Source organism: Homo sapiens, chromosome 1, assembly GCF_000001405.40.
Source record: "Homo sapiens chromosome 1, GRCh38.p14 Primary Assembly".
NCBI classification, from domain to species: Eukaryota; Metazoa; Chordata; class Mammalia; order Primates; family Hominidae; genus Homo; species Homo sapiens.
The window spans coordinates 19599540-19619533 of record NC_000001.11 but is presented as its reverse complement, the minus strand read 5'-3'; the positions used below and the strand labels follow the sequence as shown (position 1 = coordinate 19619533).

The following is a 19994-nucleotide window of genomic DNA, read 5'->3' as shown; positions in this document are numbered from 1 at the left end:
ATTTAAAAGGAGAACAACCAATGGAGGTGCAGCAATGTACACCTTAAGCCACCTTTTGGTAATAAAAGGGGGAAAATGTATGTTGTTGTCCATTACAGTTATGGACAATTTCTAGTTGCTCAATGCAACTGTATTTTACTTTTAAAAAAATCTTTGTTCTCACCATGCCACAGATCATAAAGCTTTACCTCACTGCAAATAATTAGAAGCAAACATAATCAGCAGGAATTAACAAGTAGGCTATATAATCTGATTGCAGTCTTTGGGCAGCAATGTATTTTGGATGTTAGCCCCTAACAGAATGAGCTGTAGTCATATATGCTCCTGTACGACCAACTTCACAAAAGTTCCAATTGCCTATGGACTTTCAATGAAGGAAGAACAACTCACTGAAGAGGAACAGAAACAGAAATTCACTTTGAAATATTTCTATAATAGATCATAGGGGAAAAAAGACTATAGACCCATTTCATCTATCAATAACTTATGGCAATTATTAAGACCTCACTCCAGCTTACATGTAACATTTTCAACAAGGCTCCTATATTCATAAGCCTAAGGTATAGTTGTCAGTGCTACATTTTATCTACATCTAAAAGATTAGTTAAAATAGCAAAGTAACTCCATTTTATTTTGTATAACTTACATCAAGATGCATGAGCAAAAACTTAAGTACCATATTCAACTGGCAGTTCACAAATATGAGAAGCTACAGGAATTACCAGTCTTTAAGATCCTAGAAGCCTTGTGCCAGACAACTTCTTCATTCTTACATGTCTGAAAGAAAGGATCCAATTTCTAAATAAATGCTGGATGTACTCTCCTGCTGAGTGAGTGGTTAGAGCACTGATGCTGCAGCAAGACAGGCCGGGCCCAAACCGCTGCTCCAGTCCCTACAAGTCAGCTCTCTGACCCCAGGCCAATTAGTCAACCCTACCCAGCCTCAACCTGCTCATCTGTAGAGTGAAAACAACCTTACAGGGTTGCTACATTAGAAAAATGGAAAGTCTCTAATAGTGTCTGACATGGAATACACTAAGTGGTAGTAAGTTCTGCCACCTCCCTGATAAAAGATTTCAGAGGTGTAATACAGGCTGCGTGCAGCAGCTCATGCCTGTAATCCCAGCACGTTAGGAGGCCAAGATGGGAGGATCGCTTGAGCCTAGGAGTTTGAAACCAGCCTGGGCAACACAGTCAGACTGCATCTCTACAAAAACAAAAACAAAACAAAATAATAATAATAATAATAAATAAATAAAAATCAGCCAGGCATGATGGTGCATGCCTGTGCTCCCAGCTACTCAGGAGGCTTGGGTGGGAGGATCACTTTAGCCTGGGAGTTGAGGCTGCAGTGAGCCATGATCATACCACTGTATTGCAGCCTGGACAACAGAGTGAGACCTTGCCAAAAAAAAAAAAAAGTGTAGTATAATAGCTAATCCTTTATTAAAATACAACTCACTGGCTACGTAGGATCACACTGTGGATAAGCCACAGCTGAAAATCAGAACCAGTTTTTTCCTACCCTTTGCACAGTTGACTGTATTTCATTGACATCAGTAATTGTTTATATGACACATCGGGCTTTGCTGTGTGTGTATGTGTATATATATACATATATATATATTTTTTAATAGAGGATCCTTTCAGACTTGCTGCTTAACTAGACCATTTTGCTTTAAAATGTAATCAATATTTTCCTAGAGTTGTCTTGTGTCTAATAAAGCTGTATTTGTGCTTTGAACATGAATTTATATCAAACTGACCTATTTATAATGGCCGTGCTTCCTGTTCAATCGTGTTTCTGTCAATGCTATTACAATCATCAAATGCATGTGTTATGACAGAACAAACAAGAATGTGCTTTTATAGAAAATACCCTTGGAACTGAGTTTAGTGAGAATTACATTTCCAAGACACATTCCTGATTTATGAAAGATGCTCAGGGCCCCATTAATGACGGAAAAAATAGTTTAAAGTCAGCTTCAAACTGTGTTACTTAATCCTTTGAGGACAAGACAGATTGTCCCAGGTGTCCACATGTAAATGCCATTCATGTGAATTAACCAGGAAAGTGCCAGACCAAGGACCCAGAGATGGTGAATTTAGTCTGTATTAATCAGCTTCTCAAAAGTCAACACTGACAAAGAGCATTTAGGAAACATACTAAGAAGGTGGCTATTTTACAAGACCTTACCCTTCCTGTGGCTATCTGGACTAGACAGAGGCTGGAACATCTGCAGGGATTTCTCGGGTGGACATCAATTACCAGGATTCTGATTAGAACAAGCAAACAAACCAGGCAATGGAAAGAAACAAAGGTATGAAAGGTAAATGTGGAGTCATTACTGGTGTGCTCTGCTTCAAGAAAAGCCAAACTCAAAAAGGGGTCCTTTTAAATGAGTGTGTACAGCACTTAGTTCAACTTCCAGAATGCTGACAGCCATACAGCTCCCAAGAATGCATAAAACAAGAAACATAGCTGGAGACATTTTACCAAAATATAATTAGTTAATGCACATGTGGATACAGTATGTAGGAAAATGAGAAGCAGCTCTGAAGATTAATTATTAAAGGGAAGCTGAGAAAAAAAGATACAAAATTGCCAAGTTTATATAAACACATTAAAGACAGATCACATTTATGGGGGGTGTGCTTTGGAGGTACTAACATCTACAAAGCGTTAGGCAGTGTACCACATTATAAAGTTTATTATGAAAACCTCATATTATGATGAAACCTTATGAAAACCTATAAAAAGTAGAATTCAAACCCAGGCTGTCTGACTCTGAGTCATGGCTCTTTCCTACACAAAGGGATAGACCTCATGGAGAGGTCAGCAGAGCAGCAAGGTGACTGTCTCTTGTTACATACAACAACGTGTTTTTCTGGATTTTAACACTATCCATGGTTAATTTATGACTATGTTACTCTGCAGCCCCTCAAGGAAACAGAAACCATAGATGTTTGACTTACAGGAGTGGTAACAAAAACCTGAATTACTTAGAATCAATGAGAAATTGTCAACAAATCAAGCCAGAAAATACTTTCCTTCCCTCTGTGCACTGGCTGGAGATACAATGAATCCAAATGCGCTGAGGCCTATAAACTGCTGAAAAGGGTATTTCTATGGACTCCTTTTCCCTAACATCTCCAATATCTCCAGCTCTTCCTCATCTGTACCAACAGTAACTGGATTCTCATCCTTGTGAAATTAAATATAAGAATCGGGGATTCATTATATCCTATTTATACATCATTATAGCTATTGTGTTGCTGCCTATTCCTATGATTCAAATAAAAAATTCAATGGAAAGTGGCCGGGTGCAGCAGCTCACACCTATAATCCCAGCACTTTGGGAGGCCGAGGCAGGCGGATCACCTGAGGTCAGGAGTTCGAGACCAGCCTGGCCAACGTGGTGAACCCCATCTCCACTAAAAATACAAAAATTAGCTGGGCGGTGGCACGCGCCTGTAGTCCCAGCTACTCGGGAGGCTGAGGCAGGAGAATCACTTGAACCTGGGAGGCGAAGATTGCAGTAAACGAAGATCACGCCAACTGCACTCCAGCCTGGGCGACAGAGCAAGACTCCGTCTAAAAAATAAAAATTAAAAAAAAAAATTCAATGGAGAAACAGTATCATTAATGTATTTCCCTTACACACACTGACTTGATCAACATTTATTAACATTTATTAAGTAAAAGGCACCGGGGAAGATTTCCTTTATCCTTGGAGAATCTCAGTCCAGTATAGAGTGTTTATTCTTTGAAAAATGGAAAGTTCAGCAGGGTGTGGTGGCATATGCCTGTAGTCCCAGCTCTACTCGGGGGCGGTGGGGGGCTGAGGTGGGAGGATCGCTTGAGCCTGGGAGGTCAAGGCTGCAGTGACCCCTGATTGTGCCACTGCACTCCAGCCTGGGCAACAAAGCGAGACTCTGTCTTGGGGGGAAAAAAAGGAAAGTGTTGTACAATGATTATTCTTCAGTTTTGAGGTTATGTGGATTTGGGGTAAGACAGGTTAAAACGATTGTGAATACTATTAGATTATTTACTAGCTGTGTGTCTCAGTCCTTGGGCAAACTATATAACTTCTCTATGTTTCAGTTTCTGCATATGGCAAAGAAGAATACTAACAGTGCCTTTCTGCAACTGGGGAATAGTGAGGATGAAACCCATGAGATGTGTAAAACACTTGGAAGACTAGTACAGTGCACATAGTAACTGTGGTTCACCTTCTTCCTCCACAAAAAAACATTTCAAGAACAAATCGAAAGTCCAAATATTTACTGAGCACTAAAGGGCAAGAGTACTGGCTTCAGCAAGGGTCAGAGAGAAATAAGACAGTCTCTTCCCTGGGGAGCTTGTGATCAAGAAGGGTAAGAAGTCAGAAAGAAGTCCATTTTACCCAGAAAACTGTCCAAAAGCAGAACCTCAGTGCCATGAAAGGACAGTGTTCTGTGGGTCCAGAGAAGGAGGATGGGAATACATTTGGCTAGGAAGATTTTTTTTAAGTTTTCAAGAAGGTGGCACCTGAGTTGTCTCAGAAAGGCAGACATTTAACAGCCAGAGTTTGTGGAGACGGGAACGCACTCCACTCAGTGGCAGAAAAGCAGGGCTGTGCAGGGAACTGAGGAGTGGCCCAATCCAGCTGAAGCATAAGGCACATCCAGGAGGACAGCAGGAGAGGAGGCTACAAAGGAATCTTGGGCCATTCTGCAGAAGGCACCAGAAGCTGGGTCTGCAGCACTTCACTCAGTCAGCAGTTGGCTTCCCTGAAGAATGTTTTAGAAGGAATAACATGACTGAAGCTCTGCTCTAGGAAGACTCTTCTAAGGTGTGTAGGATTGCTTGGAAAGGAAGAGCATTTTGCTGGCAGAATTCACAGGACTTAACAATTGATTAAGAGAGTGAGTGGTGGCTGGGCGCGGTAGCTCACACCTGTAATCCCAGCACTTTGGGAGGCCGAGGCGGGCGGATCACGAGGTCAGGAGATCGAGACCATCCTGGCTAACACGGTGAAACCCCGTCTCTACTAAAAATAAAAAAAATAAAAAAAAATTAAAGTGAGTGAGTGGTGTGTGTGTCTAAGAGAGAGAGGAGAGTGAATGTGTGTGTGTGAAAGTGTGTGTGTGAGAGTGTGTGTGTGTGAAAGAGAGAGTGGGTGTGTATGTGTGCAGGTGTGTGTGTATCTGGGCTTTTTTTTTTTTATAAGGGAGGTGAATGGGGGAAGGCTGCCAAAGAAAAAGCTGAGAACTTCTACCTGGATAATTATAAAACAATGATGCTACTTATAACAGGCATCAGATAATCTTTTAACACTAAATTCCCTTAATCAATCTAAAATATAACTTGATTCTTGAACCCGGGAGGCGGAGGTTGCAGTGAGCTGACATCACGCCACCACACTCCAGCCTGAGTGACAGAGCAGGACTCTGTCTCAAAAATAAATAAATAAATAAAATATAATTTAACTTGATTTATAAAAACATCTACATTGTTTTCTGGAATAGTAAATAAAGGGAATAGCATTCACTAAGCACTTATGCTCAAGGATTAAATTTTCTCATCTAATCTTCACAATAAACTTATTTTATGAGCTCCATTTTATAGAGATACTGAGGCACAGAAAGGTGAAGTCACTTGCCTCAGGTCAGACATGTGAGATGTGAGCCATGGAGCCTGACTCCAGAGGCGTGGTGCTTCATCCCCACACTATACTGCTCCCAGTGCAGCCTCCTCACAGACGTAGGAAGCTATTATAATACATTTTAAACCCACCACAGGAAAACTAAACATCTTCCAAACTTCTTTCTGGCCAACATTATGTGTGGGCATTTCCTTAGTTATACAAACCGTGTACCCACTGTGTGCCAGGTACTATGCCACGCCCTGGGGAATGATAAGTTCCCGCACTATGTTCACTGTTCCAGTGTTGGAGCCAACTGATAATCAGACCCACAAAGTACAGGGTACAATGACAGAAACAGGATGTACTAGGAGCACTGAGGATACCCAAACTGTCCAGGAGGGTTAGAGAAGGAAGTGGGAGGTAAGGTGGCAAGAGATAGGAGCTACAGCAAGCTCCTTGCTGCCAAATTATCAAGTGTAAGGTAGGAGATAAAGAACGACAACCTTTTATGCCATCCATGCTAAGGATCGTGGCCTCTACCCTGTAAGCAATAAGGAAGCAACAGACGGAATTAAGTAGAGAAGCTATATATCAGATGTGTACTTTATGTAGTTCACTCTGGCAGCAATGAGGACAGATCTGAAGAAGCCGCCATCAGAGGTGAAAATACCAGTTGGCTTCTGCAGCCCCAAAGCAACTGCAAGTGGGAGCTAAGGTCCAGACTTCAGACCCTTCTCGGCTCAACTGACTGGTAATGTTACCACCTTGCATCCTGTGATCTCTCAACAGCCCTCCCTCCACCTTTCCTGTATTCCATGATAGGCAGAAATGAAAGAGATGGTATGGAAGACAACCAGTACAGGCAAAGGCAAGGGTTTGACCAGGACTAGGAACTTCTGAGAAGGGGGAAGTGACCACACTTAACGACAATTCATAGGTCAGGGATCCGTAGGAAAGAGTATATTAAAAAGCCTCACGGACAAAGATAAACAGAAAAGGCAGTCAAATATTTTTAAGTACACCCATGTTTCTGCATTTAGGATGTGTTGATACAAATGATGATATCCGAAGTCAGCATCTGAAAAGGTGTTGAAAGAATGTGCCTGAGTTTCAGGCCTTCTGAGAGCCTGCTAAAATCTGGCAAGGACAGTAAGGCCAGGAAGCACCACCCAGCTGACATGATAGTACAGCGGCACTGTGTGGCCCAGGCTGGAGTGCAGTGGAGCTACCTTGGCTCACTGCAACATCTGTTTCCTGGGTTCAAGTCATTCTCGTGCCTCAGCCTCCCAAGTAGCTGGGATTACAGGCACATACCCCCACACCCAGTTAATTTTTGTATTTTTAATGGAGGTGGGGTTCCACCACGTTGGCCAGGCTGGTCTCGAATTCCTGACCTCAGGTGATCCACCTGCCTCAGCCTCCCAAAGTGCTGGGATTACAGACATGATCCACCACGCCTGGCTAGAGTCTTTCTTAAAGGCTGCACTACTCTACCAAGCCCCATAAAAAACCTCTCCAAATCCCTGGACTTGCATACATTATAAAACTAAGAATTGGCTTGGCACGTGGCTCACACCTACAGCACTTTGGGAGGCTGAGGCAGGCGGATCACGAGGTCAGGAGATGGAGACCATCCTGGCTAACATGGTGAAACCCCGTCTCTACTAAAAATTAAAAAAAAATTAAAAAAAAAATTAGCCAGGCATGGTGGTGGGCGCCTGTAGTCCCAATTACTTGGGAGGCTGAGGCAGGAGAATGGCGTGAACCCAGAAGGCAGAGCTTGCAGTGAGTGGAGATCGCGCCACTGCACTCCATCCTGGGTGACAGAGTGAGACTCCGTCTCAAATAAATAAATGAATAATAAAATTAAAAAACCTAAGAATTTAGCTTTCATAAAATGAGTGAAGAAAAAAAAATCTTTTTTTTTTTTTTTGAGATGGAGCCTCACTCTGTCACCAGACTACAATACACTGGCGCGATCTTGGCTCACTGCAACCTCTACCTTCCAGGTTCAAGCGATTCTCCTGCCTCAGCCTCCCAAATAGCTGGGACTACAGGCGCATGCCACCACGCCCAGCTAATTTTTGTATTTTTAGTAGAGACAGGGTTTCACCATGTTGGCCAGGCTGGTCTTGAACTCCTGACCTCAAGTGATCCGCCTGCCTCAGCCTCCCAAAGTGCTGGGATTATAGGTGTGAGCCATCGCGCCTGGCCTTAAAACATCTTCTAAAGTAGAAGTTATGAGCTAAAATAAATTTCAAGTTGAGACCAGGTATGGTGGCTCACACCTGTAATTCCAGCACTTTGAGAGGCCCAGGCAGGACGTCACTGGAGTCCAGGAGGTCAAGGCTGCAGTGAGATGTGATTGTGCCACGGTACCCCAGCCTGGGTGACAAAGGAAGACCCTGTCTCAAAAAAAAAAAAAAAAAAAAAATCAAGTTGCAACTGGAATAAAGAGAAAGATAAGTTCTTCATAATCTTTTCTGGGAATACATAGAATTAGTAGCATTTATTTTAGTGTCAAGACAAAATATGTGATTGAAACAGTAATATGTTTTTGCATCTAATCAGAATAGGATATTTATAAGCTAACAAGCTCATGGTTTCTCACATACAGGACTATGCTGAAATGGTAAAGAAATTAAAAATTTTGACCAGGCGCAGTGGCTTGCACCTGTAATCCCAGCGCTTTGGGAAGCTGAAGTTGGGGGATCACTTGAGGTCAGGAGTTTGAGACCAGCCTGGCCAATATGGTGAAACCCTGTCTCTACTAAAAATACAAAAAGTGGCCAGGTGTGGTGGTGGGCGCCTGTAATCCCAGCTACTTGGGAGGCTGAGGAAGGAGAATTGCTTGAACCCGGGAGGTGGAGGTGGCAGTGAGCCAAGATCGTGCCACTGCACTCCAGCCTTCCAGCCTGGGCGACAGTGAGACCCTGTCTCAAAAAAAAAAAGAGAAATAAATAAAAAATTCCTACAGCAAATGAATTTCAATTTAGTCATCTGAAATGATGCCAAGAAACTAGCAGCTTTCTTAAGACTACCTTCCTAGTAAAAAGTGAATTATGTTGCTTAAATCAGTTGCTTTAGTTAATCATTTAAAATCTATCAAACAGGAATTCTGAGTGGTTTATATGTGCAGGTTCTGACAATCAGAAACGTTTGTTCTAACTTGTAAACATTTATCAAAGTAAGGTAAGTCTACAAATCTGTCGACAATTATGTCAGAGTGTTACAATAACTATAAATTATCCTAAGCATCCTAATGGCTTAGATTGGATAAAGAAAATTGAAGTAAATGCACTAGATTTCGACTCCTCCCAAATATACCTTGTCTCTCAGTATCCGTTAAGATCAATCTGTTAGTGGGCATGGTGGTACGAGCCTGTAATCCCAGCTGCTCAGGAGGCTGAGGCAGCAAGATCGCTTGAGCCCAGGAGGCAGAAGATGCAGTGAGCCACGATTGTGTCACTGTACTCCAGCCTGGGCAAGAGTAAGGCCTTGTCTCCAAAAAAAAAAAAAAAAAAAAAAAAAAAAAAGCCGGGGGGTGGGGGGTGGGGTGACTTTGATTTGCTGTCTTCTTAGACCACCTCCTCATTTATCTAGAGCCTCCAACATTTTTTCTGATTTGTACTCATTTATCCTTTCTTTCCCTTTCATACTGTCTATCTAAAGAGCATTTTAAAACAATCTCTGCCTTCTATTTTTAAAAATGACAAGTTTACAAGACCTAAGAATTATGGGCTATGCTTTTTTTCTTCTTTTTGAAATGGAGTCTCACTCTGTCCCCAGGCTGGAGTGCAGTGGAGCGATCTCAGCTAACTGCAACCTCTGCCTCCCGAGTTCAAGAGATTCTCCTGCCTCACCCTCCCGAGTAGCTGGGATTACAGGTGAGCACCACCACACCCAGCTAATATTTTTATTTTTAGTAGAGACGGGGTTTCCCCATGTTGGCCAGGATGGTCTCATCTCTTGACCTCGTGATCTGCCCACCTCGGCTACCCAAAGTGCTGGGATTACAGGCATGAGCCACCGTGCCCAGCCAGGCTATGCTTTCTTTAGTCATTTTAATTATTCTGTTTTTCCCCCCTTTCCTTCAACTTCATTAGATTGGTTTGTATTTCCTAGAAATTCGTATGTAAATATGTAAATAGGATCATAAAGTATGTATTCTTTTGTGTACAGCTTCTATCACTCAACAAAATGATTCTGAAATGTATTCATGTTGTTTTATATAACAATAGTTGGTTTCCTTTTATTACAGATACTCCACTTTAAGGACAGTCCACATTTTGTTTTTCCATTAACCAACTGATGGATATCTCAGTTGTTTCCAGTTTTTTAACTCTTACAAATAAAGCTGCTATGAACACGCATGTGTAAGTCTTTGTGTGGACACGTTTTCATTTCTCTTTGGTAAATATCTAGGAGTAGAATGGCTATATCATATGTTTAACTTTATAATAAATGGCCAAACAGTGTTCCAAAGTGGTTCTACCATTTCCCATTCCAATGAACGGTGTATAAGAGTCCCAGTTGTTCCACAGCTTAATTAACACTTAGTATTGGCAGTTTTTAAAAATTTTAGCTATTTTAATGGGTGTGTAGGTATATCTCATGATTTTAATTCGCTTTTCCCTAACAGCCACTGATGTTAAGTATCTTTTCATGTGCCTATCTGCCACTGGTATAATTTTACCCATGTGTTGTCTTCCTATGATTAAAAAAAAAATTTTTTTTTAATTAGCCTGATGCGGTAGCACGCACCTGTAGTCCTAGCTACTTAGGAGGCTGATGTGGGAGGATCATGAGTCCAGGAGGCTGAGGCTCCCGTGACTGTGCCACTGCACTCCAGCCAGAGCGACAGAGTGAGATCCCATCTCAAAAAAAAAAAAAAAAAAAAAAAAAAAAAGCTGGGAAAAGTGGCTCACATCTTAAATTGCAGAATTTTCGGACACTGGGGCAGGAGGATTGCTTGAGGCCAGAAGTAGTAGCCTGAGCAACATGTGAGACCCTGAGTCTATGGGTGGGGGGGAACCTTAAAATTAAGAGATCTTTATGTATTCTAAGCCCTTTATCAGATATGTGTATTACAAATATTTCCTCCCATTCTGCGGCTTGCCTTTTTGTTTTCTTAATGGTGCCATTCAAAGAGCAAAAGTTTTTAATTTTTATCAAATCCAGTATATCAGTTTTCTTTGAAACTTGCTTTTTGTATTCCCCAAAATCTTTTCTGACTCCAAGGTCACAAAGGATTTTCTCTTACAGGTTTCACTTTTTTTATTTATTTTTTACATGAAGGCAATTTATTAACAGAAAATATTTTGAGGAATCTTGTTCACAGACGGCGACCACGGTGACCCCCTTCCTGAGAGTGCTGTCAGAGGGGATGGGGGTGACGTCCTCAATCCTCCCGATCTTCATACCCGAGCAGGCAAGGGCTCTGAGGGCCGACTGGGCCCCAGGTCCAAGGGTCTTGGTCCTATTTCCTCCTGTGGCCCGGAGTTGGATGTGTAGGGCAATGATACCCAGCTCCTTGCACCTCTGGGCCACATCCTGGGTGGTCAACATAGCAGCATATGGCGAGGATTCATCTCGGTCTGCCTTCACCTTCATCCCACCAGTCACACGGCAGATGGTTTGTTTGCCAGAAAGATCCGTGACATGGACAAAAGTGTCATTGAAGGATGCAAAGATATGGCAGACACCAAATACATTCTCCCCTTCAGCCACCTGAGGTCCGAGGTTGATGACCTGTTCTTCCTTCTTTTCCTTCCCCTTTCCAGGTGCCATTTCTGCACGTCGTCTCCAGACTCCACACGGGAAAGCTCTTATAGGTTTTATAGTTTTAGCTTTTATATTTAGGTCTACGACCCTTTTAAGCGAGGCTCATTTTTTTCTCTATATGGAAACCTAGTCGTTTTAGCATGGTTTGTTGAAAAGATTTTCCTTTCTCCATTAAATTGCCTTGTCAAAAACGAATTGACCATGTATGTATGGGTCTATTTCTGGACTTTATCCTACTCTACTGATTTATATGTCCAGCTCTTCTCCAACACCACACTGTCTTGTAGCTTTACTGCAAGCCTTAAAATCAGCTAATACAAGAATCTCAACTTTGTTCTTTTTAAAAATTGGTTTGACTATTTTGGATTGTTTACATTTTCAGAGTTTAAAAATCAACTTCTCAATTTCTATAAATTTCTTTGAGAGCTACTTTTCTTGCTGGAAAAACAGAGATAATATAAACTTCCCGAGTTGCTGGGAAAGCAAAAAAGAGATAATAGTGTACCAAATATGATGGCACATTAATAGGCATTCAATTAATGTTAGCTTTCTCTTTCTCTCGGCCCTTAAATAAACAGGATCCAATCTAGCAATGCCCTAACATTTCACTAGTGGGTCAGTGGCCATAGTAAAAATATTACTACACCAAATGACTTTTATAAGTAAATATTTGTGTTTTTACTTGGATTCAATACTGAAATGCACTTGCCAAAGAAAGCAATTCAGCATATTTACTAATAAACTGTTACAGGCCACATTTTAGGAAAGCATAAAACCACAGCCAGAACAAAAATTTAAGTATGTTTTCAAGTTCCACATAGCGCCTAATTACATTATTCTGTAATACTAACAGAATCTAGAAGGTCACAATGTTCCATTATTCACATTGCTGCCGCAAATGGAAAAAGTATTTTTGGTCACATTGTTTAAATATACATAAAACAAACAAAATGTGGCTACCCAATTCAACAATTAACGTGTACTAATTTAAAACCCAAACCAATAGACAACCAAAAGCATTTGAAGTATTTAAGTATAACCTAATTGATATCACTCCATGAAATAGAGAGGTATCAGTTTGCAAACACAGGCTACCAACAGGCAATTTTTGGTGAGCCACCAATGCTTTGTGGTAACCCACATCTATCAGATGAACTGATACTTAAAGAAAAACAATAATTTGCTTTCTTTTTCCATGACTATTCAATGGCCTCTTTTAGTATTTTTTTAAACATTAAAATGGCTTCAAACAATTTAACTAGACTTGATTATTGAATGAATACACAAAATCTGCTGGTTAACTTTAATTCTAAGGCAAGTCAGCTTCTAAGTCTTTTACTGTCCTACTTTTTTTCTTTCTTTTTTTTTTTGGAGACAGAGCCTTCTTGTTCTGTCGCCCAGGTTGGAGTGCAATGGCCTGATCTTGGCTCACTGCAACCTCACCTTCCCAGGTTCAAGTGATTCTCCTGCCTCAGCCTCCTGAGTAGCTGGGATTACAGGCATGCGCCACCACACTCAGCCAATTTTTATATTTTTAGTAGAGATGGGGTTTCACCATATTGGCCAGGCTGGTCTCAAACTCCTGACCTCAGGTGACCCACCCTCCTCAGCCTCCCAAAGCGCTGGGATTACAGGTGTGAGCCACCGTGCCCAGCCCTGGCCATACTTTCGTAACAAGGAAGAAGCAAGGCCGAATCCTTTCTTTTCATAAAGATGAATGCATGATAAACCAATAACTTTCATCTGTTAACTGAGCTGCATATAATTAGAGACCTATCTCAAGACATACTAGAAATTAAGAAACTACAAAATGTTATTCCCCTCTCTGCCTCTCCTATTTGTCAAAAGCAACACCATGCTCATTTATGTAGGCTTGGCACCACCTGACTCCTCCCACTCCTGAGCCTGCATTTCAAGTTCTGTAAATATAAACTCTGTACTAGCATCATTATATCTCTCTTTTCCACTCCTGCTGCTCCCCTCTTAGTTCATGCTTCCTCTCATTTGATCAGCTCATCTTTGGCAAGATTTTGCAATAATATACTAAGCTAGCTCCCTGCCCCCACATCCTAGCACTCCAGAGAGTTATTCATTCTCATCACATCAGTGATCTTTCTGAAATCAGAAATTCAACCACGTCACTTTTCAGCTTACCATTCAATGAATTTCTTCGAATGCTAAACATAGAATTGCCACACAACCAAGCAATTCCACTCCTAGGTATATATCCAAGAGAGATGAAAACATGTCCACATAAAAACTGGGGGGCTGAGCACCATGGCATGCACCTGTAATCCAAGCTACTCAGGAGGCTGAGGCAGGAGGATCACTTGAGCCCAGGAATTTGAGACCAGCCTGGGCAAAACAGACCCCATCTCAAAACAAAACAAAAATGTGTACACTTGATCACAGCAGCATTATTCATAAAATTTAAAAGCGTAAACAAACTAAATGTCCACCAACTGACAAATGGATAAACAAGATGTAGTACAAATACACCACACAACATTATTTGGTAACAAAAAAGAATGATGAACAGATAAATGCAACAGCATGGATGAATACTGAAAACACTACCTAAGTCAAAGAAGCCGATACAAAAGACTACATATTATATAACTCTTTATGTAAAATGTCCAGCATAGGAGACTCCACAGAGACAAAAAGTAAATTGGTGGTTGCCTGGGGCTAAGGTTGGGGTGAGAGTTTGGGAATAGGAGCAGCTGCATCCAGTGTTTCTTTTGGGGGAAGCTAAAAATATTCTAAAATTAGATTGTGATAATTGCACAATTTGGTGAAAAAACTAAAATTGTACACTTTAAATAGGAAAATGTATGCCATGAAATATATCTCAACAAAGTAGTTTAAAAAATCTCCACAACTTCCTACACCCTTCCACCTTTCCTGCCTCATCTTTTGTCCCTCCCCACATAAATCCTTTAACCCCAAAGGATAAAATCTCCTGCATTAACATGTGATAGCTACAAGAATGGGGTTCACCTTCCTACCCTTGCAGCTGTAGCCTGTGATCCTAAAGGAGGGATTCTGCCACCATGAGCTTCCATTGTAAAAATGGAGAAATATCTTACAAGGATATGAGATAATGATGTAAAATATAACATGCTCAGCACCGTGCCTGGCATGCGGTTAAGTGCTCAATAAGTGATGGTCATTCTCATCATTCCCAGAAGGAACCAAAGTATCCCTCTCCTTTGGGACACCTTCAAGGAGTGAAACACACTCCCCCACCTGGTCCACCTATTAAATATCTGCATATTTTCCAAAATGGGGGTCAAATGTCCCTCATCCTTTTCACATTCCTCAAGGCAGTAAGCCCCTCGAGGGTAGGGCCAGTGCCTATTCACCTGTGTGCCACCCCCTGCCAAGGCTTACCACAATACCTGGTACTAAATTGTTTCAAGAAGTACACATTAATGATTACTATTACATATATAAACATGAATATTGATTATCAGACCTACAATAGCCACGACCCACAATAAGACCCACCTACGACCCACAATAGCCAAGATCAGGGTAAATGTGTTAATCATTTTAACTCTTTTACCTCTACTCTTCAGCGACAGCCTCCAGTTTTTATTTATTTATTTGAGACCAAGTCTCACTCTGTTGCCCAGGCTGGAGTGCAGTGGCTGCATCTTAGCTCACTGCAACTTGCTACTCCCGGGTTCCAGCGATTCTCATGCCTCAGCTTCTCGAGTAGCTGGGACTACAGGTGCGTACCACCACACCTGGCTAATTTTTTGTATGTCTAGTAGAGACTGGGTTTCACCATTGTTGGCCAGGCTGGTCTCAAACTCCTGGCCTCAAGCGATCCACCCACCTCAGCCTCCCAAAGTGTTGGGACTATAGGCATGAGCCACCACACTCAGCCTCCAGTTAATAATATTTAGTAAGTACAGGCAACGTCCTAACTGCTCTAGAGATTATCTCATTTTATCCTCACTTGCAACTACCCTCTGGGGCAAGTACTATCATTTTATAGATAAGAAAACTGAGGCTGGGAGGTATTTACTGGTACATTTATTTTGAATGAAAAAAATGAGGAAAAGAAAAACAAAATGACTGTGTATGCCACTACAGTTCACTGAATTGAATACATTCTAGGGGCTCCTTGTAAATGTCCATGGCTTGCCTTTTTTCTTGCTACTAACGGAAATCACTGTTGTGCTTGACACACCTGGCTTGCCAGGACAGTCTTTTCCAGGAAACTCTCCAGCTTTGGGACCTCTCCCTCCACCATGACATCTCCTCCCTGCCTTCATCCCAGCCAGCCCTCTGATTCATTCTCATCAATGATTTTTCTGAAATCAAAAATTCAACCATGTCACTCTTCAGCTAACCATTCAATGAATTTCTTCAAATGCTAAAATACAGAGTTGCCATACAACCTGACTTCTATTAGAATAAACTAGAATTCTAAACCAATACATGGATTAGTAAGACTAGATATTCCTTACTCTGGTCTCACATTGGAGCAAAACAAAGAGAAAAGGGACACAGCCAATTTTAAAGCTATCCAAGTCACACTAGGGATTCCCAGGACCTCCGTATGAATCCAGGAAGTGCCAGAATCAGATTTTCCTCAAAGCGTCCTCTGGCAAATCCATAGTCTGAGGACAGGCCACTGTCACACAAGCAACATCAACTTGGTCAAAAGGTCCACAGCCTGCTGGTGCAAGCCTTCGGCATTCAAGAAGAGTAAGTTGTAACAGAATTCTGAGGCAATGACAGTGTTTCTGCTTCTGTTTGTTTGTTTGTTTGTTTTGAGATGGAGTTTCAATCTTGTTGCCCAAGCTGGGGTGCAATGGCAGGATATTGGCTCACTGCAACCTCTACCTCCCGGGTTCAAGCTATTCTCCTGCCTCAGCCTCCCAGTAGCTGAGATTACAGGCATGCACCACCATGCCCGGCTAATTTTTTGTATTTTTAGTAGAGATGGGGTTTCGCCATGTTGTCCAGGCTGGTCTCGAACTCCTGACCTCAGGGGATCTGCCTAACTCGGCCTCCCAAAGTGCTGGGATTACAGGTGTGAGCCAGCGAGCCCGGCCTAGTGCTTCTGTGACCCACACCTGTAGGGCTCATAAATTCTCAAACCACAGGGAAGCAGCCCCTGGAAGTCTATGACTTTTCTCATCTCCTAAAATCTTATTTTCCTTGGGAAATTGAAAACAGACATAACCTCTCATCCAGTCCAGGGTGACAAGCCCAAGCTGAGGACATCGGCTCTGTGGAGACCAGAACGATTTAAAGTCTCCTAGGTTGATAAGACACTATGCCTTCTAGCCTCACTAATAAGAAATGTGTGACTTATTCATGCTCATGGGTACTAAGACAGATTACCCATACATACAAGGAAAATAAACACCACAGCCCTTGAACTGAGTGGATAAAGAAAGCCAGAGCATTTAATAAATCTGATAAAACTTAAAAATAAATCCATAAAATAAGCAAAACCCATTAATGACGCATTCACATAAAACTAACGGAACATGCCATTCATAAAATGTAATATTCTTCACTCCTTTTTAATTTCCTGCAATAAGGCTTTGGCACTACCACTTAAACCAACATCATCCCTCTACTTGTTTAAATACAAAAGTGCTCTCTGGTTTATGTTTCTCAGTTGACTATTCCCAAACATTTTTAATACTACTTTATTATTAAGATCTACTGACAGTTAATTTACATTCCCAGATGAAATTAAAAGTTGGTATAAGTCCCAAGAACACAAGGATACATGATCAAACATGTGAACGGGCAGAAATCTACTTTACTTGGAGTTTTTCAGTTAAATACTAATTCATTCAGTTAATAAACACACTCTGAGAAGCAAATATGGGCAGAGAACGGTCTACAAAATTCTCAGCAATACATGTCATTCATTTAACAATAATTATTGTACGCCTCCTCTAAACCAGGCGTTAGGGGATCAACAGTGAACACAACAGCCTCTGGTTCTTATGAAGTTTACATTCCAGGGAGAAGAAACAATCAAGTAAAGAAACCAATTACAAATTTCAAATGGTGAAACATGCTATTAAGAAAAATGATGTGATAAAGAATAAATAGAATACCTAGGAACTTCTTAAATGCTAACAGGGTTACTAAGGAAAAAAGACCTATCAATGTCAAACTTTATAGATGAACTAGGCAATGTATGTAGTGGCAGTGGCAGGAATAAGAATAGAGGTCAAAAAGAAGTGTAAAAATGTGACAGGAATAAAGAAAAAGAAAGCAACAAGGGCTAAAAAAGTGGAAAAAAGAGAAGTGGATGTGTAACAAGTAAGGGCCCACTGTGCCCATCACTCAGAGCTCCCTTCCAAGAGAAAGATGGGTTTTAATTTTTGCTATTGTTTTTAGATCCATGGGCTTAATTTATCAGTTCAAACCATACTAGAAATCACCTATTCTTCCACACTATTTGATACAAAATAAATAGAGGTTTTAAAACCCGAATAAGCAGGTAAAATATAACTGCTTTTCTTTTTTTTCCTTTTTCTTTTCTTTTTTTTTTTTTTTGAGAAAGGGTCTTGCTCTGTCGTCTGGGCTGGAGTGCAGTGGTGCGATCACAGCACACTGCAGCCTCAACCTCTAGGCTCAAGAGATCCTCCCACCTCAGCCTCCCAAGTAGCTGGTACCATAGGCGTATGCCACCACACCCAGCTAATATATATATTTTTTGCTGCAATGGGTCTAACTATGTTGCCCAGGCTGGTCTCGACCTCTTGGGCTCAAGTGATCCTCCCACCTTAGACTCCCAAAGTGCTGGGATTATAGGCATGAGCCACTGTGCCTGGCCTAGAACTGCTTTTCTTAAGATAGTAATGGGGGCAAGGGTATTTATAAATAAATGCCTCTTCCTACAGGACAAAATCATATGATAATTTTCTATTAAGATATTATTCAAGCCTCAGGGTGAAAAGATCCTTGAAGATTACTTTTTTAAAGGACCACTGCCTAAAGTACAGGCTTAAGAAAGCTATTTAACTCAGCTATACAACACCTATGCTAAACACGAGTGATTATAATAGTCATCGTACAGCAAACAGGTGGGAAAATAACCCTGGTGAACCCTGGAAGCAAAACACTTTAGGTATAAGACAACCAAACAGAGAAGGACTCACAGAAGTTGCTGTGCATTCACCATGGCTTCCCTTCAGTCTTTGCCAAGCCAGAGTATGAAATTATCAAGATGGACCAGGTGTGGTGGCTCATGCCTGTAATCCTGGCACGTTGGGAGGCCAAGGTAGGTGGATCGTTTGGACCCTGAGTTCAAGACCAGCCTGGGCAACATGGTGAAACCCCATCTCTACAAAAAATACAAAAGTTAGATGGGTATGGTGGTGCGTACCCACAGTCCCAGCTACTCAGGAGGCTGAGGTGGGAGGATCACCTGAGCTCTGGAGGTCAAGGCTGTGGTGAGCTGTGATTGCACCACTGCACTCCAGACTGGGTGACAGAGTGAGACCTTGTCTTAAAAACAACAAAAACCCACAGTGAAATTATCAAGATGGAGCTGAAAGCCTGCATTGGCCTTTTCTTCCTGTCTATGTCTTCCACCAAACCTCTTACCTATCTTATGACAGGCTGCCATTCCCTGAGTCTCCATCTCCATTTTGAAATACCAGAAAAGCAAGCAGCCAATGAGGTTTAAAGAGTTCCAGAACCTCACTACCCAGAGAAAACAGGAAGCAACACGCTCACTATAGAAGAGCGTACACCTTCATGGTTTCAAAGACGACTCAGACTAAAGCCTCCCTTACTTCTTCTCTCTTCCGCCCTCTCTCTCAGCCCATCACCAACAGGACAACTCCCTTATTTCACAGATGGGAAAAAGTTTGAAATTTCTCAAATATGCCCATTTATTCCAGTCTAACAGGTCAGACTTTTATCACCTCACAATCACAGTACTGCTAGTTTCCTCTGCTCCAAATTCATTCTGCCAGAACAATCATACTAAAATTTCATTTACTAGGTTGGTGCAAAAGTAACTGTGGTCTTTGCCAATTTTTTTTTTAATGGCAACCTAATATATTACGTCAATTCCCTGTTGAGGGCAGTGAAATGTCTTATGCTTCTCTATTTGCCCGCTGACTGACCCACAGCTCAATAAATATTTGTTGCTTGAAACCATCCCATGATTACCCACCAGCCTATGCCTAGTGAGCCCTGGAAGCAATAGATTTTTAAGGCAGAGGTGCTGAATACGCAGAAAGCATGTGAAAAAGTCAACAGGCAACTCAAACACCTCCAAGATAAAATGGAATCTCTCTAAGACATTTCACAGTTCTGACTCCACCTAAACCAGCCTCTCTGCACTGAAATTAGGATGCCTGGGTTCTAATCCCAGCTCCTCCACTTCTGGATATTTAACCTCTCTGCGCTTCGATTTACTCCTCATAAAAATCCAACTTGACCTTTGCTTAAGTTCTTCTTCCATCCTACCTGACTATTCAATCCCAAGCCATTCTACAAAGGTCAGTTGAAGGCCCTTCCACACTCTTATTGAATGACCTCAGCCCATCCCTTCAGTCACTTAATATACAACCCTACAGC

At 41.6% G+C, this 19994-nt stretch overlaps 2 protein-coding genes and 1 pseudogene across 8 annotated transcripts in view; all 3 read right to left on the bottom strand.

Annotated features, from left to right (window-relative positions):
• The window catches only part of MICOS10-NBL1 (MICOS10-NBL1 readthrough), a 61474-nt gene that overhangs the window by 38919 nt on the left and 2561 nt on the right, over positions 1 to 19994 (bottom strand). The window contains exon 2 of one of the 2 annotated variants that reach the window (NM_001204088.2): positions 18563 to 18747. The exons of the other annotated variant lie outside the window; for it this stretch is intronic. Within the exon in view, the coding sequence (NP_001191017.1) occupies positions 18563 to 18585 (23 nt within the window). The 5' untranslated portion in view covers positions 18586 to 18747. The remainder of the gene's footprint in view (positions 1 to 18562; positions 18748 to 19994) is intronic. 2 annotated transcript variants of the gene reach the window in all.
• The window catches only part of MICOS10 (mitochondrial contact site and cristae organizing system subunit 10), a 32842-nt gene that overhangs the window by 10287 nt on the left and 2561 nt on the right, over positions 1 to 19994 (bottom strand). The window contains exon 2 of one of the 5 annotated variants that reach the window (NR_033757.3): positions 18563 to 18747. The exons of 3 other annotated variants lie outside the window; for them this stretch is intronic. The gene's annotated coding sequence lies outside the window, so the exon portion shown is untranslated. Of the gene's footprint in view, positions 1 to 2197; positions 2277 to 18562; positions 18748 to 19994 lie in introns of all 5 variants that reach the window. One more of the 5 variants, NR_033758.3, reaches the window with a different exon arrangement.
• On the bottom strand, positions 10890 to 11727 carry RPS14P3 (ribosomal protein S14 pseudogene 3; annotated as a pseudogene). The gene has a single exon (NR_077246.1). The product of NR_077246.1 is annotated as a ribosomal protein S14 pseudogene 3 (transcript).